Source organism: Homo sapiens, chromosome 1, assembly GCF_000001405.40.
Source record: "Homo sapiens chromosome 1, GRCh38.p14 Primary Assembly".
Taxonomy (NCBI): Eukaryota; Metazoa; Chordata; class Mammalia; order Primates; family Hominidae; genus Homo; species Homo sapiens.
The window spans coordinates 171,631,771-171,654,604 of NC_000001.11; the positions used below are offsets into that span (position 1 = coordinate 171,631,771).

Sequence of the window (22,834 nt, forward strand, 5' to 3'; positions counted from 1 at the left end):
TCACTACGTTGCCAGGCTGGTCTTGAACCCCTGACCTCAAGTGATCCTCCTGCCTTGGCCCCCCAAAGTACTGGGACTACAGGTATGAGCCACCACACCTAGCCCTAATCCTAATACTTTAGAATGTAACTGTCTTTGGAGATAAGGCCTTCAAAGAGGTGATTAAGCTAAGCTTAGGTCATTAGGGTGAAAAAGAGGAGATCGGGACACAGACATGTACAGAGGGAAGATAATGTGAAGATGTAGAGAACAGCCATCCATCTATAAGCCAAGGAGAGAGGCCTCAGGAGAACCAACCCTGCTGACACCTTGATCTTGGACTTCCAGCCTCCAGAATTGTAAGAAAATTAATTTCTGTTGTTTAAGCTATGAAAGGAAAATAAATCTTGGGGTCCCAAAATCACTAAGCTAAAGGGAAAAGTCAAGCTGGAAACTACTTAGGGTAAACCTGCCTCCCATTCTATTCAAAGTCACCCCTCTGCTCACCGAGATAAATGCATATCTGATTGTCTCTTTTGGAGAGGCTAATCAGAAACTCAGAAGAATGCAACTGTTTGTCTCTCACCTACCCGTGACCTGGAAGCCCCCTCCCTACTTGAGTTGTCCCACCTTTTGGACAGAACCAATGTACATCTTACATATATTGATTGGTGTCTCATGTCTCCCTAAAATGTATAAAACCAAGCTGTGCCCCAACCACCTTGGACACATGTCATTAGGACCTCCTGAGGCTCTGTCACGGTGCCCTCAACCTTGGCAAAATAAACTTTCTAAATTAACTGAGACTTGTCTCAGCTCTTTGGGGTTCACAAAGCCACTCTGTCAGTGGTATTTGTTATGGGAGTTCAAGTATATTAATACACCAGTGGAGAGCCATTTTGAGATCTCATCCTCTCCCTTCTCACTCATGGCATGTGTAATCTTAATGAGAATAAACTCCCAGGGGAAAAGAAAAGTCAGGCTTGGTATGGTGGCTCACGCCTGCAATCCCAGCACTTTGGGCTGCTGAGGCCAGCAGATTACCTGAGGTCAGGAGTTTGAGACCAGCCTGGCCAACATGGTGAAACCCCTGTCTCTGCCAAAAATACGAAAATTAGTTAGGCATGGTGGCACATTCCTGTAATCCCAGCTACATGGGAGGCTGAGGCAGGAGAATCAATTGAACCCCGGAGGCGGAGGTTGCAGTGAGCCGAGATAGCACCACTGCACTCCAGCCTGGGTGACAGAGTGAGACTCTGTCTCAAAAAAAAAAAAAAAAAAAGTCAGATTTTTCGCTTTGCTTTCCAAAGTATAGTCTTTAGAACTCAGGATAGGAAGAATTGTCTTAAAGCCAAGGCTTTGACTTTTAAGAGCTGATTCTCTTGGAAATCAAAAGGCTGAGCTCTGGTCCCATGAACAACAACCTGAGAAGATAGGTGAAGAGTATTCCATCTCTACAGTCTGAATAAAGTCTGGAAGAATAAGGGAACTTCAGAGAGAGAAAGAGAGCTTAGAAATTAGCCAGGCCTGGTGGTGGGCGCCTGTAATCCCAGCTACTCGGGAGGCTGAGGCAGGAGAATCGTTTGAACCCAGGAGGCAGAGGTTGCAGTGAGCCGAGATAGCACCACTGCACTCCAGCCTGGGTGACAAAGCAAGACTCTGCCTCAGAAAAAAAAGAGAGAGAAAAAACTTAGATTCTGGAGGTTTCCTGATAGGACTTCATGTACCAGATAGGTTGGGGCAAGAGAAAGCAGAGGAGACTTGTGCTCATTTCCAGGTGAAGCCTATGGGGTGGCAGACTTCTAGGAGAAGTGGCCCTGACCCAGCAGGGGCACAGCAGGAGAGCAAAAGGGAACCTGTGTTCCTACCCTGCAGGACAGCTCCCACTGTGTCCTCATATCCTTGGTGGTACACACAACAGGCTGGAAAAAAGCTGCCTTGGCCAGGCATGGTGGCTCACGCCTGTAATCCCAGCACTTTGGGAGGCTGAGGAAGGTGGATCATGAGGTCAGGAGTTTGAGACCAGCCTGACCACCATGGTGAAACCCCTGTCTCTAGTAAAAATACAAAAATTAGCAGGGCGTGGTGGTAGGTGCCTGTAATCCCAGCTACTCAAGAGGCTGAGGCAGGAGAATCGCTTGAACCCGGGAGGCAGAGGTTGCCACAAGCTGAGATCATGCCACTGCACTCTAGCCTGGGTGACAAAGTGAGACTCCTCAAAAAAAAAAAGGCTGCCTCATGGGTCTGGCCATTGGAACTCAGAGGACCCCAAATCTGTAACTGGATACAGAGATGTGGATGCCAGCAGCAAAGCTGGAATCTGCCTGATGGCTAAAATCAGGTGTGAGACACTCTGCCTGGGTTCTTCCCCCTGAGTGCCAGTGCGCCCTCAATCTCACTTGTCTCAAGCATAGATGCCACCTCAAAGACATGGGGAGAGGAAAAGCCTGAATTGGCTGACAACACATTGATGTGATGGAATCCAAGCTGAACTGGCAAATGAAGTGTTCTACCATTAGGTACAATGGCAACTGAAGAGGGAAATTAAGTTTGTTATTAAAAAATAATGCAGCTAGGTGTGGTGGCTCATGCCTGTAATCCCAGCACTCTGGAGGCCGAGATGGGAGGATTACTTGAGGCCAGGAGTTTGAGACAAGTTGGTCAACATAGTACAATCCTGTCTCTACAAAAAAATTTAGAAAATAATAATATTGCTATAAGGGCTGAGGATAATGGAGTTATTAATGGGTGTATTAATAACCGTAAAGTCACCGCACTAGCCCTGACTTTTCTTTTCCCCTGGTACATTAATAACTTGAGTTATTAATGTTCTGGAGATGATGGTCGTGATGGTTGCCCAATAATATGAATGTGTTTAACACTACTGAACTGTGCCTTTATAAATCCTGGGATGGTAAATTTTGTTATATTTTACTGCAGTTTTAAGAGTTGGAAGAACAAAACTATGCTATAAGCTTTCTCCACCTGAGGTTGTGGCTTATAAAATTCATACCCCTGATGACAGATAAAAACTGAAGTGGAGGGGCTGGGCGTGGTGGCTCACGCCTGTAATCCCAGCACTTTGGGAGGCCAAGGTGGGTGGATGACAAGGTCAGGAGATCGAGACCATCCTGGCTAACATGGTGAAACCCCATCTTCACTGGAAAAAAAAAAAATTAGCCAGGCGTGGTGGCAGGCGCCTGTAGTCCCAGCTACTTGGGAGGCTGAGGCAGGAGAATGGTGTGAACCTGGGAGGCGGAACTTGCAGTGAGCCGAGATCGTGCCACTGCACTCCAGCCTGGGTGACAGAGCGAGACTCCATCTCAAAAAAAAAAAAAAAAAAAAAAAAAAATCAAAAGCAAACTGAAGTGGAGTTAGGGTGAATAGAGGGTGGGTTCAGGGGAGAGATGGAAAGATTGCTCCGGTAGTGCCGAGAGCACCAGGAGATGGAGGTGGGAAAGTGTGGATGCTGCTATTTGCTTGGCGTCATCCTGGGCAGCACCTCAAAACCAGGCACAAGCCTCTCAGTTACACACACACACACACACACACACACCACCTTTAACATCCTGCAATCACATCTCCCAACCTGAAGGAATTACCTGATGGTTGGAATCTATATCCTTCTCTTAAGCAAAGATTCCCACAAAGTTCAAGGAAGAGAACGTTGGGTAAGAAAATTTTATTTCACAATGTAAAGGGTTATGTGAGACCCAACTGTATTCTATCTGAAGCATTAGAAGCCAACTGTAGTAAATGCATCTTACTTATATTCGATGCTGGCCAGAGGAGCTATTCTGCTTCCTTTAGAAGTTATGCTTTTTATTGTGGCTTGTGGTAACCATGTAACATGCAAGAGCAATGGTTTTCAGGAAGAAACTATTATGCCTTACAGCTTTTGCCCCAAATCACAAGAAAACTTGAACTATGTCATTAAACATCCCATAAATGCTGACAGAAGATAAAGGATATTTATTATATGAAATTGTCTACGCCCTCAGACTACAATTCCTGAATAGTTAGATGGTGACCATGTTCATCCTTCTGGATTAATGAAAACTTGGAAAGCAGTCAAAGCTGCCTGGGCCCTGGCTGGCTGGCTCTCCCTTCAGCCTGCTCCCCCCAGGAGCCCTGAGCATCTCCTTCTGCCATTGCCTGTACAGCTTGGAGGCTTTTCACATCTTGGAGAGCTTGATGTCATAAGTGACCATGTTCAAGTTGTCCCAGGCAAAGAGCTTCTTCTCCAGGGGGTTGTAGTCAATCATGCTGCTGTACTTATAGCGGTTCTTGAATGGGATGGTCAGGGTCTTGCTGATACCTGTGCCTGTGTCATAAGCAAAGTTGACGGTAGCATCTGCTGAGGTGTAGCTGCTGACGGTGTACAAGGTGCCACAGATGATGAAGGCATTGGCGACTGACTGCTTACGGATGTTTGTCTCCCAGGTTTGTTCGAGTTCCAGATTCTCTGGGTTCAGTTTGGAGAGGACAATGGCACCTTTGGCCTCATCGGTGCTGTAAATGACCCAGAGGCCTGCTTCATCCACAGCCAAGTCAATGTCCGTGTAGCCACCCCAAGAATACGGGAACTGTCCGTGGTAGCCAGCTCCAGGGATTTCCTTCTCAGCCTTCACTGTCTCGGTATTCAGCTCATATCTTATGACAGTTCTGGACTCAGCGCCCTGGAAATAGAGGCTCCCCGAGTACACCACAGCACCCGTGCTTTCCAGTGGCCTAGGCAGTATGTGAACCTTAGAAGGGTAGCCCTGCATAAACTGGCTGATGAGGTCATACTCAAAAACCTGGCGGACATCCGTGCCAACTGTGTCGATTCTCCACGTGGTCTCCTGGGTGTAGGGGTAGGTGGGCTTGGGGTCTCGCATCCACACACCATACTTGCCAGTAATTGTTTCTGCTGTTCTCAGCGTGAGAGGCTCTCCTACCCAAACTAGTTCTCCACATCCTGGTAAATTCAGAAAAGAAAACGAAGCACCACTTAATCCATAATCTTTCCAAACACAGACAATGATCATGCGGAAGCTTGGCAGAGCCAGTAGATGTGACAGCCCTGGAGACAAATCGTCTGGGTTTAAAGCTAGGCTCTACCACCCGCTGGCTGTGTGACTTTCAGTAAGTTACTTAGCTCTCTACGCCTCAGTTATCGCATTTGTAAAAGGGGATACTAATAGTGTTTTGGGTAGTAGGGCTGTTGTAAATTTTAAATGTAATTATATATGTTAAGTGCTTGGTATAGAGTAAATATATGGTAAATGCTATATGATCAATCTGTGTTTCATGTTATTGACAATTATTGCTATCACTGAGGGGCATGCATGGGAGTGGGAGCTATAAAATATTTAAAGTACAATTCACTCAGTATCAGTTGTAAGGATGAAAGTTGCACAGAGGGCTTCAACTGCATTTGTAATATTCTACTTAAGCTGGGCAGGGACCCATGGGTGTTCATTGTATTACTTATTGTGACTTTCATGCCTGGTTTATTTCATTACTATAAGGTAGGAGAGAGAAAAATCAACTCATAAGAATAATCTCCATACAACAAAGTTTTTCAAGCCCTGATGAGTCACATATTTCATACATCATTTTAATATAATAAACATGAAAATAATTATTTTTTGAGACAGGGTCTTGCACTGTTACCTAGGCTGGAGTGCAGTGGTGCAATCACAGTGCACTGCAGCCTCGACCTTCCAGGCTCAAGCACCCCTCCCATCTCAGCCTCCTGAGTTGCTGGGACTACAGGTGCCTGCTACCACACCTGGCTAATTTGGTTTAGAAAATAATTTTTTAAATGTAGTGAAGAGACGGTTGAAAATTTAGAGTTACCAGAATCACAACAGATGTCTGTATTTTTTTTTTTTTTGAGACAGAGTCTCACTCTGTCGCCCAGGCTGGAGGGCAGTGGTGTGATCTCGGCTCACTGCAACCTCTGCCTCCTGGGTTCAAGCAATTTTCCTGCCTCAGCCTCCCAAGTAGCTGGGATTACAGATGACTGCCACCATGCCTGGCTAATTTTTGTATTTTTAGTAGAGACAGTGTTTCACCATGTTGGCCAGGCTGGTCTTGAACTCCTGACCTCAAGTGATCCGCCCGCCTCAGCCTCCCAAAGTGCTGGGATTACAGGCATGAGCCACCATGCCTGGTCCAGATTTCTCTACTTTTAATGGCACCTTCGGTTCCCTCATAGAAGGTAGAAACACTTTGCTGCTCATATCTTAGAGAACCGTGTTTTAAATATTTCATAACCCCTACTTGCATGCATGCCCTTCAGTGCTAGTAATCATTGTCAATAACATGGATAGTCAAAGTTTCTGGAAATCACAGTATTAGTCATAAAGTTGGACTTTCAGGGAACACTTTGGAGAGAGCCAAACTGTACTTTTCCTAAGTGGCCAAAGTTCAGAAAACATACTGTTAGTAACAGATTGTGGCTGAGATGGTGCTTGGTGTATACCTGTCCCTAAAATAAAGATATGAAGGCGCTACTGAAAAATGTAACTTCTCAAGTATATCTAATTCTACATGACAATCAAGTGGATGAAATCAACACATCTCTCATCTTGCCCTGTGCAGCCCAGCCCAGCCTCCCAAGTGTGGGTGATAGGATAGAGGGCTTTGTTAGGGAAAGGCTGACTCCTGCAGACCTGCTCTGACAAGGGAACAGAGAGAGAGAGAGAGTTCTGTTCCTCTTCTCCTCCCCTCCCTCTGCTCCCAGGGAAGTTAATTTCCCCCTTGGGTGGGCATTTACCCTATACTGATTCTCTGAACACAGCACTAGACATGAATAAAGACCACGTGGGCACAAAAGGGAAGAAACTTAACTTCATACCGGTGTCTCCCTCTCCACTCCTGAGATAGCCAGATGGGCTCTCCTTCAAAATTCGGGAAGCAGGAACTTCAGTTAGCTCGGACTTCAGTTCCTGGAAGGCCAAAGTGTCCAAATTCCACGTAGAAACTGCATTAAAAGAAAGAGACAAAATTTTACTGTAAGAAAAAATGGCCCAAGGATTGACTATGTTGAGGATGACATTTAAATAGGCTGCCGGCCAGGCGTGGTGGCTCATGCCTGTAATCCCAGCACTTTGGGAGGCCGAGGCAGGCGGATCACCTGAGGTCAGGAGTTCGAGACCAGCCTGGCCAACATGGTGAAACCCTGTCTTTGCTAAAAACACAAAAGAATTAGCTGGATGTGGTGGCAGGTGCCTATAATCCCAGCTTCTTGGGAGACTGAGGCAGGAGAATTGCTTGAACCAAGGAGGGGGAGATTGCTGTGAGCCGAGACTACACTATTGTACTCCAGCTTGGGCAACAAGAAAGAAACTCTGTCTGAAAACTAACTAACTAAATAAATAGGCTCCCAAAGATATGGTGTTTGAGATTTGATTTTAGATAAGGACTGGGGATGGGTTGGGGGTCAGAGAAGGGAAGATAAAACATGATTGGACTGTGCTGATAACAGTTGGGCCTGAGTGATGGCTACATTGGAGTTCATTGTAGTCTCTCTACTTTTGTGAATATTTGAACAATTCCATAATTAAAAACCTCATAAATAATAAATTGCAGGGCAATGTGCCTACCTTAGAGTAGGGTATTCAAAATCAAATAATATTTTAATTCCACTAGAAGGGCTGGTTTGTGAATAGGTGAGTCGTAATTTCAGGAATATGGAGACAGTCCTCAGCATCTTCTTAGATGTCTGAATTTCAATAATTAAAAATTCATGAAAAATTAGCTGGGCATGGTGGTAAGCATCTGCAGTCCTAGGTACTTGGGAGGCTGATGTGGGAGGATTGCTTGAGCCCAGAAGTTCAAGGCTGCAGTGAGCTATGATCCTGCCACTGCACTCCAGCTTGGGTAACAGAGCAAGGCCCGGTCTCAAGGTCTCAAAAAAAAAAAAAAAGAGACCGGGCACAGTGGCTCACACTGAAATCCCAGCACTTTGGGAGGCCGAGGCAGGCGGATCACTTAAGGCCAGGAGTTCAAGACTAGCCTGGCCAGCGTGGTGAAATTCCATCTTTACTAGAAATACAAGAATTAGCAGGGTGTGGTGGCACATGCCTGTAGTTCCAGATACTCAGGAGGTTGAGGATCACTTGAACCCAGGAGGCAAAGGTTGCAGGGAGCCGGGATTGTGCAACTGTACTCCAGTCTGGGCAACAGAGCAAGACTCTGTCTCAAGAAAAAAAAAAAAAAAAAAAAAAAAAAAGAAGTGTGGCTCATGTCTGTAATCCCAGCACTTTGGGAGGCCAAGACAGGAGGAGTACTTGAGCCCAGGTGTTCAAGACCAGCTTGGGCAACATAGGGAGACTCCTGTTAAAAAAAAAAAAAAGATAAAAGTTTACTGCATGACTTAAGGTTTTTTCCCTTGTTATATGCAAATATTCTTGTAAGAAGTAACATATTAAGCTTTATACTTTCAGTAGAAATATTCTGTCTGATTCCTTTCTGAGACCAGTTTTGCATAATGGAGAGGGAGTGTGTGCAGAGTTCCTATAGGAGTTTGGGGTGGGGGTGGTGAGCCATACAGAAGGGAAGCGGGTGGGCAGCATTGGTTAGACAGTAAGTGATCATGGTGTGCTACATGTCTCTACTCTTGCTTAGGATTATGATCTTACAGCAGTCTTGAATACAAGGATGAGGCAATAGTCACAAGGAACAGGCTTGGCTATTTTAAAATGCAGTTTGGCCAGGCCCAGTGGCTCATACCTGTAATCCCAGCACTTTGGGAAGCCAAGGTAGACAGATCACTGGAGCCCAGGAGTTCAAGACAAACCTGGGCAACATGGTGAAATCCCATCTCTACAAAAACTACAAAAAGTTAGCCTGGGTGGTGATGTGTACCTGCAGTCCCAGCTACTTGGGAGGCTGAGGTGGGAGGATCACTTGAGACCGGGAGGTCAAGGCTGTGGTGAGCAGTGATCGTACCTCTGCACTCCAGCCCTGGCGTAGAGTGAGACCCTGTCCTCCCCTCCAACCTCCCAAAAAACCCATCACATACACATAAAAACAAATAAAATGCAGGTTTGATGATTATTCAGGTGTGGCAAGGCCAACATCCCAGGAGGCAATTGTCACTGAAAAGCAAGTTAAAGCAAAATTATGGAGACAGTAAAAAGATCAGCAGTTGTTGGGTGAGGAAGGGATGACTAGGTGAGGCACAGACGATTTTTAGGGCAATGAATACTGTGTATGATACTATAATGGTGGACACATGTCACTATGCATTTGTCTAAACCCATAGAAGGCGCAACACCAAAAATGAACCCTAATTTAAACCGTGGACCTTGGGTGTTGTGCGTGCTGATGCAGGTTCATCAGTTGTAACAACTGCTGTGGCGGGAGATGATGATAATCGGGGAGGCTGTGCATGTGTGGGGGCCAGTAGTATCTGGGAACTGTTTGTACTTTTCTCTCAATTTGGCTGTGAACATAAAACTGCTCTAAAAAAAAATTATCTTTACAAGTTGTTGTACTCACAGAGCCCAAGAGGAAGGGGGCACACTAAGCCCAGGAGGCCACCTGGGGAAGCACCAGGGTTGCTCCAGAAGAGGGCACCAGGGGAAAATGTGGGAAAGCGCCTTTATTCTTTCCATGGGAAGGAAAGAAAGGGGAGGCAGGGTAAGCAGGTTTAGGATTGGGGAGTTTGAATAATTTCAGCAGGATCTGGGGTCACAGGAGTTATCTCTAATTGTCTGGTACCAGGCCCTGGGTGATTAGGTCAGGGGGACAGTGGCCTTGAGTTTGAGCCAGATGGAGGTGGTCACAGGGTGTGGGCTCTGGATTGGTTGGTTTGCATATGAAAGCTGTCCTCCCAGGTGAGTCCTTTGCTAACCGTAGGAACTGGCTACCCCTGGGAGGGGCAGTCCCTCTCACGTTTGCAAGGCCCAGACAGCAAAGCATCAGAATAAAAAGACATGCTTAATACACTGGGCTTTTCTCTTGCTGAACCTCTGAGTCACTTCTCTGCCCTTTGAGCAACTTGTTCCCCGCTCAGGATTCTCAGGTGTTCAGGACAGTGGGAGGAAAGTCAGTGCATCCCCTGAGGCCGGAGCGCCTACACAGCCGAGAGGGTCGGGAAGACATGTTCTGCCTTTGATCATTTGTTTGCTCAGCTCTCCTAAATTTAGATTTCAGGCAGAGAGGATCACCACAGAAGTCTTAATCCTCTGGTTCTACCACATTTCATCAAAGCCACACATTATTTTACATTTTCACATCTCCAGAGTCAGGGTACCTTGTTTGAGTTGCTGGGGTTCAGCTTCAACAAATTATAGTACTGGAAAAAATTTCTCCCTGGAAGGAGGTGAAGAAAACATTCAGCTAGCTCTCAGGTGCAGGCTGGGCCAGACAGCCATGCTGCCCACAGTGAGCCAGCTCAGTAGCTGCTGCAGCTGCCTGCCCCTGATCCCAGCTACCCTTCTCTCCTCTCCACCCCTGCCTCTGTGTGGCTGCAGTTGTTAGCCTCCCTAAAAGTGTTAATGCCCTGGAGGTGGGTGGGTCCTCCATCCCTGGGATATCCCTCAGTCTAGAGTGCACCATGTAAGTAGTTAAAACCCATAAGCTGGCCAGGCGCAGTGGCTCATGCCTGTAAACCCAGCACTTTGGGAGGCCGAGGTGGCAGGATTGCATGAGGCCAAGAGTTTGGGACCAGGCTGGGCAACATAGCGAGACCCCATCTTTACAAAAAATTAAAGAGTTAGCTGGGTGTGGTGGTGCAGTCTGTGGTCTCAGCTACTCGGGAGGCTGAGGCAGGAAGATGACTCTTGAGTCCAAGAGGGCAAGGCTGCAGTGAGCCATGATCATGCCACTGCACTCCAGTCTGGGTGACAGAGTGAGACCCTGTCTTAAAAAAAAAAAAAATTAAAAAAAGAAAGACTCATAAGCCAAAATGTATATGTAACTGAGGACATCCTCAATGTGCATTCCAAACTCCAGGGGCAATTGGGAGTACCCCCCGGGACATGGCAGGCCTTCATTATTCCTAGCCTCAAATCCACAGAGCTATTTATCCATCCTTTTAGTCACATCATTGGAGCACCTATTGAGTGCAAGGCTGTGCTAGGTGCTCAAGAAAAAAAGGTGTCTAAGACACAAGTTTGTCTAATAGGCTAGTCTATGTTTAAAAAAAAAAAAAAAAAGACACAATCAGTCCATGCCCTTAAGGAAATCATAATCTGGCAAAGTCCTCATACCCGAGAAGGAAAATGGGTTTATTCCAGGCTGCTGCGGAAACCAGTTTCTTGGACAATCTGAATGGCTCCTGGAGAGTCCTGGAAACTTTTATTTCATTCCCTGCGTCTCCTTCTCCCTATCTGAGGTTGTGCAGGGGTGAGGAAACCCCTTTGTTCTTCATTCTAAAGGTTGCATTGGCCTAGGAGGGTATCCAGGGCAGGGACTGATTCACTAGGTCAAATGGAGTTTCCTTAGATCGACCTGAGACCAGTACCAGCTGCTTCCCTTCTCCCCCTGTGCAGGCAACACACACCTCCGGCAGGGACTTGGTGCTGCCTATGGGGGAGAGGGACAGGGTGCCCGAGGTTCCCTGTTCTTCTGTGCTGCCAGGGAGAGGTAAGAGAGAGTGACCGCCTTCCTGTACACAGGTGGCAGAACCATCTGTAACCTTCCTCTCTGATGCTGCCTCGCCGATTGCCATGCCTTCTCTCTTAGGCCCAGAACACACACCCAGGCTGTTAGGAGCAGCCCACCGCTCCCTGGCCCTGCCAGCCTCCTGCAATGTGCAGAGGCTCATTCGATGTGGCAAAGTCTTGCCAGGACAATTTTTCAAAATCAGGGCATTAAGCAAGTTCCTTGAATTGAGCTGGTTTCCTTTCATCTGTACCTCTTCTTGGATCACTGCAGACTCTGCCTCAGGACAACTCAAATTTCTTTTCTTTCATTGTCTCAACTCTCAGAATATAAGAGTTGCTGGGCATGGTGGCTCACGCCTGTAATTCCAGCACTTTGGGAGGCTGAGGTGGGTGGATCATGAGGTCAGGAGTTCGAGACCAGCCTGACCAACATGCTGAAACCCTGTCTCTACTAAAAATACAAAAATTAGCCGGGCATAGTGGCACATGCCTGTAATCTCAGCAACTAGGGAGGCTAAGTCAGGAGAATCGTTTGAACCTGGGAGGCAAAGGTTGCAGTGAGCTGAGATTGTGCCATTGGACTCCAGCCTGGGTGACAGAGAGACTCTGTCTCAAAAAAAAAAAAAAAAAAAAAAAAAGGAGTTGGTTTCAGGCAATGTGAGGAGAGAGAAATACTGCATGCCATCTGTACACAAAGTCTGGAGGACTGCCCCAACCTTGTCCCTACACTTCAGCTATGCCATCCACAGTTGCCATGGGAGGGTCCCTTAATAAATGTGTCAATACTAAAATTTCTCTGGAATGTTTCAAAATCACTAACATTTCATTCTGAATGTGGAAGAAAACCAAAAAGAGATTATGAAAATATTAAGGGCTATATTGTGACAGATCGTTAACATTTTTAGGGCTTTTTTTTTTAGGTTTTTAAAAAAATATTAAATTCAGGCGAGCCATCCCTCCCCTGCATCTGGCCCCTTTACACATACAAAATGATGTATTTTATGCTGGTTATTTAATTTAACAACTTACCGAGAAAAGATGTATACTAAGAAAAGTAGGGGTACCTACCTACCAGTCAGTGGGGAGAAAATTAAGAAAGAAATGCCCCTTTTGCTATAGAGGGAAGGAAGAAAGTGAAACCCAAAAAAGTCAGGCATTTTCACAGATGACTTCCTTGTGGATAGCTAAAGTATGTACTGGCTTTGCAACTCTAAAAAACAGCTTTTTTTTTTTTTTTTTTTGTGAAACAAGATGGTTTGTCGGCATTTATAGCTCTTTGCCCATTTCAAGTAATTTTTATGTAATTTTTAAATGTGATCTGGTGCCTTCAAAGTTTCAGAGAAATAGAGAAAGGCTTTAGGACTGCAGATAGCGCCTGATAAAGTTGAACTATCGCTACTACTTATTAAGTGTCTCTTATGAGCCAGTACTGTGCTGGGTGCTTGCTACTCACTACTTTCAAATAATGGTCCTGAAAGTGAACATTAATATCCCCTTTTGCAAATGAGGAAACCGAGGTTCAGAGAGGTTAAGTAACATGCCCAAGGTCACACAGCTAAGTGGTATCGCTGGGACTTGAACCCATGTCTTCCGAGGCCATGGCAGCTGCGAACTCTTCCATCCTGTGCTGAGGAGGTGTGTCAGTTATAAACGCATTGCCTCTCAGAGCTGAATGCACCCTCCCATGTATGCTGTCTGAAGAACAAGAGCTTTGAAGTGAGCGCGATGTTGAACTATCTCAGTAGAGGGCGCTGGAGGGACATCGTGGGAGGAAAAAGGTCTGCAGTTTTCCTGTCCTGCGTCCATAGGTGGTATGACTGTGAGGACATTTGTTGGAGTCCTACCCCAGCCACGGACCCAGAGCGAAGTTCTTCTGTGACCTCACAGCCACAGCCTGGCCATAACCTTTCCACAGCCCTCCCAACAAGGAACCCAGAGTCCCTGCACACGGACCTCAGTGCTCTGGAGGCCTCCTGCCTGTGCCTGCCCTGACTCCCACCATGCCCTTGCCACACGTTGCAGGTTGCCCTCCTCACCTGCACTGGGAGGCGGCCTATTGCAGCTGCAGACCAGCTGAGGCCTGCACACCTTAGCCACCTTCTCTGCAAGCTGATGTGCTGAACCTCACCTTCCCCTTCCAAGCTTGTCCGGCACCCTCCCTCAGCCCTAGGTGCCTATGGAGTTCACGTCTATCTATAGTTGCTCTTTCATCACGGTTAGTAATTCTTTAAAGTAAACTTCCCCAGCTTAACCCACTGTGTGATTTCTATCTCCCGACTGGACCCAGATGGCTACTGGAGGCTTCAGAAGAGTCTCAAAGATGCTGCTCAGCACTTTGTGGGGTGACCCACTCCTGGGGCTGAGCTCAGGTCCCAGTGGGTTGCCTTGTAAACTCTCAGCTCCTGGGCTGTGCACTCAATCCTCTTATCAGTTCTTCTACCCTCACTGGCAAAGAAGAGGCAGCAAAAGTGCCTGGCTGGTGCCAAGTTCCCTGCTGAATCCCACCATGGCCCTTACGGCTCTGAGCAAGGAGCCCTTCAGATTGTGCCTTGCAGGAACCACTCCTTATGTGCATTAGCTGGAATAAACATGAACTGCAATAAAACAAAATGTCAGGGAATGGCTTCCAGGATGACGGCAAGGCCAGTTCCCATTTGGCAGGGGCGATGGTTAAGTTATGAGCCTGCTGGCTTCTTCTAGGTCATGTCAGCCAGGAGCATCTGGCAATGGTCAGACTCCAGGAATAGAGCCATCTGGCATGCGGGTGGAAGCCCAGAATAGAGGATGCAAAACCCAAAGGCAGGGAAACAATCTCGTAAAGGGGCCTGGACCTAAGCCGGAAGTCATAGCTCCTAGTTCAGCTCTGCCATGTCCCAGCTGTGTGACTTTGGGTAAATGACTCCACCTCTCTGAGCCCCAGTATGCTGAGCTGAATTGTTTGGATGATTACATAAGTAACTATAAATGAAATGGCCCTCAATAAAGATGTGTCAACACTAAAATTTCTCTGGAATGTTTTAAAATCACTAACATTTCATTGTGAATGTGGAGGAAAACCAAAAAGAGACTGTGAAAATATTAAGGGCTGTACTGTGTCAGATAGTTAGCATTTTTGGGGCTTTTATTTTTTAAGGTTTTTTTTTTTGTTTTTTTTTTTTTGAGACAGGGTCTCGCTCTGTCACCCAGGCTGGAGTACAGTGGCATGATCTCAGCTCATTGCAACCTCTGCCTCCTGGGTTCAAGTGATTCTTCTGCCTCAGCCTCCTGAGTAGCTGGGACTACAGGTGCCTGCCACCACGCCTGGCTAATTTTTGTATTTTTAGTAGAGACAGGGTTTTACCATATTGGCCAGGCTGGTCACGAACTCCTGACCTCGTGATCCGCCTGCCTCAGCCTCCCAAAGTGCTGGGATTACAGGCGTGAGCCACCACGCCCAGCTGTTTTTTTTCTAGGTTTTTTAAAATGTTAAATTCAGTCCTTCTGTGGTTTAAAGGTTCATGTCTATTACAAAATTCTGGAAATGTTCTGTGTTCTCTGCCGTCGCTTCTTTATAGACTTGGCATTTTAGAGACCTCAACCCGGAAACTGAATTTATTAACTCGTTTGCCTGTAGACATAGGCATTGTAATAATTTTCATAGATATTTTCTATCACTGGAAAGTTCAGTCCATATTACATAAATGAAAGGAATGAAGTAAAACAAGCTATGCCTAATTATCTACAGGTTGTCAGAAACATCTTAGGAAAGTGAAGACTAGCTAATAGACTATTGTCCTGAGTACTGCTCTAACTTGTACTGTCTCTAGAATCAACGCATGTTATTAAAATGTTATGCACATGTTGACATATTGATTATTGAATGATGCTTTAAAACAATAGTGGAACCCTGGCCAGGTGCAGTGGCTCATGCCTGTAATCCCAGCACTTTGGGAGGCTGAGGCGGGTGGATCACGAGGTCGGGAGTTCAAGACCAGCCTGGCCAACATGGTGAAACCCCATCTCCACTAAAAATACAAAAATTAGCCGGGCATGGTGGCGTGTGCCTGTAATCCCAGCTACTTGGGAGGCTGAGGCAGGAGAATTGCTTGAATCCAGGAGGTGGAGGTTGCAGTGAGCCAAGACCACGCCACTGCACTCCAGCCTGGTGATAGAGCGAGACTCCATCTTCAAAAAACAAAACAAAACAAAAAACAAAAACAATAGTGGAACTCAAGTAAAATAAGCCTTTCTAGTTATATTTTATTCACTGGGTGGCCACTGCTCAGCGCTGCACTGGGTGCTTCCCTGTGTGACTGCTAATTTGCATGATGACTCCCATGAGGGATTCTCATCCCCATCCTATTCTAGGTGAGGAAAGGGAATCTGCAGCACTTGTGTTGAACACCTCAGGTTTCTCCCCTCACCCTCCCCTCACATCCTGCCCACTTTTTTGCAGTCATTGCTGAGGCAACCTGCCTCTTGCAGTTATCACCTGCGGGGACCTCGCCTCAGCCACCGTGGCCCAGCTTCTCTGACTTTCTGCATAGAAAGTCTACAAGAACAGGCCAGGCGCCGTGGCTCATGCCTGTAATCCCAGCACTTTGGGAGGTCAAGATGGGTGGATACTTGAGGTCAGGAGTTCAAGACCAGCCTGGCCAACATGGTGAAACCCTGTCTGTACTGGAAAAAAAAAAAAATACAAAAGTTAGCTGGGCGTGGTAGTGTGCACCTGTAATCCCAGCTACTCGGGAGGCTGAGGCAGGAGAATTGCTTGAACCCAGGAGGCGGAGGTTGCAGTGAGCCAAGATCGTGCCACCGCACTCCAGCCTGGGGGACAGAGAAAGACTCCATCTTAAAAAAAAAAAAAAAATCAGTCTGCAAGAACAAACCTCGTCCCCACATCTGAGTATCAGGGAAGCGCAATATACTCCATGGGATAGCCCTTGGCCAAGAGGGTATCAGATCCATGCGTAAACCTCCCCTCTTCTGTTGCAGTCTACACAGCCCCTCTGAAGGGCTTGATGGGATTGAGCCTCCATTGCCCACTGTGGTGACTAGCTGGAGAAGGCCCCCATTTTGTGGCTTTCCTGCCTTCCCTGTCTCACTTTCCCCTGTCTCAACTTCTCTTCTCTAGGATCATGGTCCATATAAACCAACTGCACACAAGCCCTCTTCCAGGCTCTGTTCAACAGGAGACCAGTCCAAAGCAGGGGCTAAATAACAAACAAAGCAGTCCTTCTCTTGTGACAGTAATAACCAACTCTAATTTATCTTCTAGTAAATTATATATGTATTTTATTATATATATAATAAATTTATATATATAATTATATATATTTATATGTATTATATGTAATATATATATTTTTTTGAGATGGAGTCTCGCTCTGTCACCCAGGCTGGAGTGCAGTAGCGTGATCTTGGCTCACTGCAACGTCTGCCTCCCAGGTTCAAGCGATTCTCCTGCCTCAGCCTCTGGAGTAACTGGATTACAGGTGCCCGCCACCACACCCGGCTAATTTTTGTATTTTTAGTAGAGACAAGTTTTCACCACAGTGGCCAGGCTGGTCTTAAACTCCTGACCTCAAGTGATCTGTCCACCTCGGCCTCCCAAAGTGCTAAGGTTACAGGTGTGAGCCACCACACTTGGCTAATTGTATTTTTTTTCTACTTTTCAAAAACTATTATATATACATAAAATTTATATATGTATATATATGAAAATTTATATAAGCCCAGAGAAGAAAAAGTTATATATAACTTTGTAGTAATAGTTATGTAGTAAAATATGTCATATTATGTGTATGTATAAACAAGTGATTTCTATGATTATAAGGAATTTTTTTCTACATAACAACTATTAATACATGATCAAGAAAGTGGTGGTAACAATTTGAGTTGCAGGTGGAATACAGAAAGGCTGCCTTCTCAGGCCTTACCTTTGTCCACTCAGCCTCACTAAGCTTCTCTACCCAAACCTTCACACCTAGTTCTTGCCACTCCTGCAAAAAAGCATACCTAGACTTATATTCCAGCCTCCAGAATGCCCCCTTTTCCCTAGATCTGGCCTTGAAACAGATCTTTTGTTCCAAGCATTCCTGTACCTTTCTGTCTTTTACCTTTAGGGTCTATAAACCAGAGGTCAGCTGAAGGTCTTGAAAGTCAATGAACCTCATGGCCATGTACAGGGAGGGCTCACACCTGTAATCCCAGTGCTTTGGAAGGCCGAGGTCGGCAGATCACCTGAGGTCAGGAGTTCGAGACTAGCCTGACCAACATGGTGAAACCCTGTCTCTACTAAAAATACAAAATTAGCCGGGCATGGTGGCACATGCCTATAATCCCAGCTACTCAGGAGGCTGAGGTAGGAGAATTGCTTGAACCCGGGAGGCAGAGGTTTCAGTGAGCCAAGATCGTGCCATTACACTCTAGCCTGGGCAACAAGAGTGAAACTCTGTCTCAAAAAAAAAGAAAGAAAGTCACTGAACTTCAGAGGAAGAGGCCAGAATTCGAGCTTTGCCACTAACTGGTAGATGGCCATGGACAAGCTGAATAACCTCTCTGGGCCTCAGTTTCCATATCTGCAAAAATCAGCCAGCGGTACCGGATGCTCATTAGGTCCCTTTCCAGTTCCACATTCTTGTACTAATGTAATTTCCTGCTCATGAAAAACATCTACTACTAGAAAAGAACTTCCATGTTTGGTGTTCAATATAATGGGATGTTGCCCTTATTTCAAAAGTGGAGTAGCTGGAAAGATCAAGAAAAAATATAAAATTAGGAAACACATCTAATAAATCCCCAAAGACTTGTTAAATGACCACAAAAGAAAAAAAAAGGCAAAACATTGCCACTATTTTTGTACACACACACACACACCACCCACACCCACATACACACATGCAGGAGTTTTTATTGAGAATGTAACTTCATTCAACAGTCTGAAATAAGTAATGCCTCATCACACTTCTGGTAATGATGATTCTTTCAATTGTCTCCACAGATTCAAGTCTCAAGCTCTACCACTGACCAGCTGGGCAACCTTGGCCCCTTAGCATCTTAGGACTTCACTTTCCTTGGTTGTAAAATTCAGAATTGGATCTCTTCTAATTCTAACAATCTAAACATTTTTTAAAAATCCTTTACATCTTATAGGTATTTCATGTGAACCCCACAAAAATTATTCACAGCAGGAATTTTCTTTGTTATGTTATGGACAAGAAATGAAGATGCAGAGGGTTCAATAACTTGCCCAAGGTCATCCCCAGGCTCTGGCTCTTAGGTTTTCTAACCCCATAGCTATGAAGAGCTTGCCTTTCACGTAGAAGGCTCTTTTTAGGAAATATTTTCTCATAATTTTAAAGCTTTTCAAGCCTATAGAAAAACTGAAAGAATAGTACAATAAGCTCCCCATATACTTAGATTCACCAGTTTGTAATTCACCAGTTATTAATATTTTGCCACAGTTGTTTTACCTTTCTTTCTCTCATTATCTATATATTTGCAGTCTTTCTTCAACCATTTGAGAGCAAATTGCAGACATCCTGACGCCTCACCCTGGGTACTTAAGCATGTATCTCCATAGAACAAAGATTTTATCCTTCGCAACCACAGTATCATTATCTCACCAAGAAACTGAACATTAATACAGTAACATAATAATGAGCAGTCAAATTGCCTCAGTTATCCCAAACCTGTTCCTCATAGCCTTTTTCCCCCTTGGATGAAGACACCAATCAAGACTCATGCACTACATTTGGTTAACACATTTCTTTAGTCTCTTTAATATAGAACAAGCCCTTCCCCACCCCTTTTTTCTTTCTTCCTTGGCACTGACATCTTTGACCAGTCCAAACTAATTGTCCAACAACTGGATTTGCTTGCTTATTTCCTCATGATTAGAACACTTCCTCAACAGGGAATATTTGGGAGCCCACTTTCACAAAAAGTGACACAAATACCATCTTCCCAGCTAATAAGAAGACCTCCCCCAACACCTCACCCCCGCACCCCCCCCACACACACACAGACTCACCTTTAGGCAAGAAGGGACCAGGATGAACAGAAGAGCCTCTCAGAAAAAGCCATCTCAAGAATTTGTCTGATGACTTAAAAGCAGAGGTTCTCAGATTGGACTGAGTAAGAAAACTTTCAGAACAACATATTAAGAAAACTGACAGAGAGGTGCCATCTCTTTATTTTGCCAGGGAAGAACATTTAAAAATAAACAAAAACTTACCACTTATTATCATTTCCCAAATCTATTGTAATTTCATAAATAAAGGTCATTTTAACATCAAAAGGTACAAATAACAATCTGAGCAAAGGTTCAAAAAAGGATAGTTTTTCAAAAGGGACAATTGACAACTTTCTACTGCTCATATGCAGACACATCTCACCCGGTCCTTTTATTTCTCCTTTTGCTATGGACTGTGAAAACTGACATGGAGGGGCACAAGAACTCTGAACCACTAATCTAAATGAAGCTCTCAGGAGCTAAATTACTAGTAATACTTGAAGGTGATCGCTGTGCTTTCCTTAATTCATCTGTCTTGTGCTAGCTGTGCAGTCTCTAGGAGAAAGGGCAGGCAGGGAGGCCTGGAGCGCCTGTAGCAGGTCACTACGAGCCATATCACCTGCTGAACTCAGAGTCCCCCCACTCTGCATTCTTACCTTCTCTGGAGCCTGGTGGCACAGCCCGAGCAGTGTCTCGGGTCTGGGGACACTGGCCCCTTCTCAGCCTTGCTACCTCCTGGCTGCTGCTTTCCAACCTCCTGGCCAGATTCTCATTTTCTTGCCTTAGTCGCTTCTTCTCTTCCTCCAGAACTGACTTGTCTCGGAGGAGGTTGCTGTAGGCAGTCTCCAACTCTCTGGTTTGGGTTTCCAGCTGGTCCCGCTCCCGCCTCAGGGTGCCCAGCTCCCTCTGCAGCCCCTCCTGGGTCTCCTGGGGCCTGGCAGCCTGGTCCAAGGTCAATTGGTGGAGGAGGCTCTCCAGGGAGCTGAGTCGAGCTTTGGTGGCCTCCAGGTCTAAGCGTTGGGTGCTGCTGTCTCTCTGTAAGTTATGGATGACTGACATGGCCTGGCTCTGCTCTGGGCAGCTGGATTCATTGGGACTGGCCACACTGAAGGTATACTGGCATCGGCCACTCTGGTCATTGGCCTTCCTGAGCTGAGCTGTCCTGGCCCCCACATCCCACACCAGGCAGGCCAGAAGCAGCAGCTGGACAGCTGGCATCTCAGGCCCAAAGCTGCAGCAACGTGCACAGAAGAACCTCATTGCAGAGGCTTGGTGAGGCTTCCTCTGGAAAGCTCTGCTGTGCTGAGAGGTGCCTGGATGGGTGGCCTTGCTGGCTCATGCCCGAGCTCCAGAGAGGTTTATATATACTGGGGAGCCAGCCCTTCATGGGGGAAGACAGAGGTGGCCACGTGAGGCTGGGTGGGGCTGTGCACAGGGGGGTTGCCTTCACGCTGCCAGCAAGATTCTTAGAAAATAACCTTCCAGAAGTCTGTTTGGAGTTTCTTTTTAAAAAGAACATCCCAATTTATGCACCCATACCCCAATAATAGTTCCTATATCTCCACCTGGTTTTACACACACACACACACACACACACACGTACACACACTTACACCAGGACTACTGGTGTGCTGATTTCAACAAGGATATATTTCTAGTTTATATTTCCATTCACTCTGCAAACTCATTGAGAACCTGCACTGTGCCAGGCACTATGCTAGGAACTGGAGATCCAAACAAGTCCTTTAAGACGTAGCAGGGACAGAGAAAAATAACAGCCAGCCAGAACACAAGGACAGCACCCTACCAGGCTCCAGGGAGAGCATTCCTATAGAAGCGGCAGATTTCCCCCCTCACCCCTAGCTTTAAAACAACTGTGTATCTTTGGGAGAACTTTCTAATTTCAGTCTTGCATCTCAGGCACCAATGTCAATGTTAGCCTCTAAATCAGTTCTTACTCTGTGTGTGTGCATGCCAAGAACCTCATTGGTGAAATCTGGGGAACTCTTCTCAGAAAGATGTTTTCAAATATATAAAATATAGATTACAAAGGAAACAAATGATAATGAAATATGATTATCAAAATATCAAAATTTTAAACATGTTTTATTAATATGTTAAAAACAAGATCCAGCAGGAGGTCTAATTTCAAAGTAGTTTTGAGTATAAATATTTCACTTACAACGTATCTGCAACAACTGTAATATAGTATAAAATGTCTGTGATTTCTATTGGTAATGACAAAATCACAGGTACTGTTATTACCACTTTGAGTTTATGGCTCTATTCGCAATGGAATAAAATGTTAAATTTAGTTAGAAGGTGGTAAAAACAAAAATGTAATTTTTTCCTCATTCAAATTCACAGGCTTTCTGGACTGTAGGTTAATAATCCCTGCTTTACATTAATAAACCCAAAGAGAAAAAACAAAAAGCAAATGGCAATAGCCAATAAATATACCAAAACTGTCAGAAGTAACTTTAAGCCACTTGAAATAATGATTGCCTTTGAGCAACTTTATGTTGTTAATACCAACAACAGTGTCAATACTTGTGAAGTAAATATTTCCAAACTGCCCTGGCAGACTCACCTCCAGAGTGGAGAAACACAGTTTGCTCTAAAGATTCTATTCTTATTTGATTGGTTCTGCAGTTAAGCCTGAACTTGAGACATTTACAAATGGGTGTTTGTTTACAGCTGACCAAAGGGTACTAGTCTCATTTTCTGAATCAGATAGTAAACATCGCTGAAATGATTTTTCAAAAAACCAATCATATAGTCAGCAAGACCTAGGCTTGAATCTGTTTGGCTTTACTCTTAGGAATGTTTTCTTCCTGTTAAAAGAAACGGGATTGCCCTTGTGCTGCTAACTCCACAGAGAAAAAGAGTTCCTAATAAGGAGAAACTAAGTAATCTTACAGCCTCAGTTACTACCTTGTGACTTGCTCAGAATTACTCAGCTTGTAAAGGAAAAATATAGTATTAGAAATCAGGTCTCCCGACTTCCCTTGAACTGATTTTTTCCCCCCACAATATAGCCCTGCCTCCTAGAACCCAGGATCACGTGGACTATAATCCCTGTGGTCAATTCCCACTGCCCTTGAATGAATCTGTCTTTCTTGCTCATACACTATCCCTCTCTTTTTCTTCTCCTCCCCTGCGCTGCAGGTCACTCCGTGCTGTCAGCAGTCACTGCTGAGCTGCGTGGGGTGCTGGTCAGGGTGAAAAGTTTAACAATCTCTGGCATTTTCCA

At 45.4% G+C, this 22,834-nt stretch overlaps 1 protein-coding gene across 1 annotated transcript, besides 2 other annotated features; it reads right to left on the bottom strand.

The window, feature by feature from the left end:
* On the bottom strand, nucleotides 3,647-20,918 carry MYOC (myocilin). Its single transcript, NM_000261.2, has 3 exons — nucleotides 20,238-20,918; nucleotides 6,827-6,952; nucleotides 3,647-4,939 (listed from the first exon to the last, which is right to left on the bottom strand). The coding sequence occupies exons 1-3, from the start codon at nucleotides 20,839-20,841 to the stop codon at nucleotides 4,155-4,157; spliced, it is 1,515 nt and encodes a 504-aa protein (NP_000252.1). The 5' UTR covers nucleotides 20,842-20,918; the 3' UTR covers nucleotides 3,647-4,154.
* Nucleotides 13,086-13,592: an enhancer, noted in NCBI's record as "H3K27ac-H3K4me1 hESC enhancer chr1:171613996-171614502 (GRCh37/hg19 assembly coordinates)". NCBI's record gives its function as "activates a minimal SCP1, AML or CMV promoter by ChIP-STARR-seq in naive H9 embryonic stem cells {active_cell/tissue: H9 hESC(naive)}" and the evidence as "EXISTENCE:reporter gene assay evidence [ECO:0000049][PMID:30033119]".
* Nucleotides 13,593-14,099: an enhancer, noted in NCBI's record as "H3K27ac-H3K4me1 hESC enhancer chr1:171614503-171615009 (GRCh37/hg19 assembly coordinates)". NCBI's record gives its function as "activates a minimal SCP1, AML or CMV promoter by ChIP-STARR-seq in naive H9 embryonic stem cells {active_cell/tissue: H9 hESC(naive)}" and the evidence as "EXISTENCE:reporter gene assay evidence [ECO:0000049][PMID:30033119]".

Coding starts and splice junctions, on each gene's coding strand:
- MYOC (NM_000261.2), bottom strand. CDS start 20,841: ATGAGGTTCTTCTGTGCACGTTGCTGCAGCTTTGGGCCTGAGATGCCA. Junction 6,953..20,237: donor GCCACCAGGCTCCAGAGAAG/GTAAGAATGCAG, acceptor CTTTTAATGCAG/TTTCTACGTGGAATTTGGAC. Junction 4,940..6,826: donor GAGTGGAGAGGGAGACACCG/GTATGAAGTTAA, acceptor TGAATTTACCAG/GATGTGGAGAACTAGTTTGG.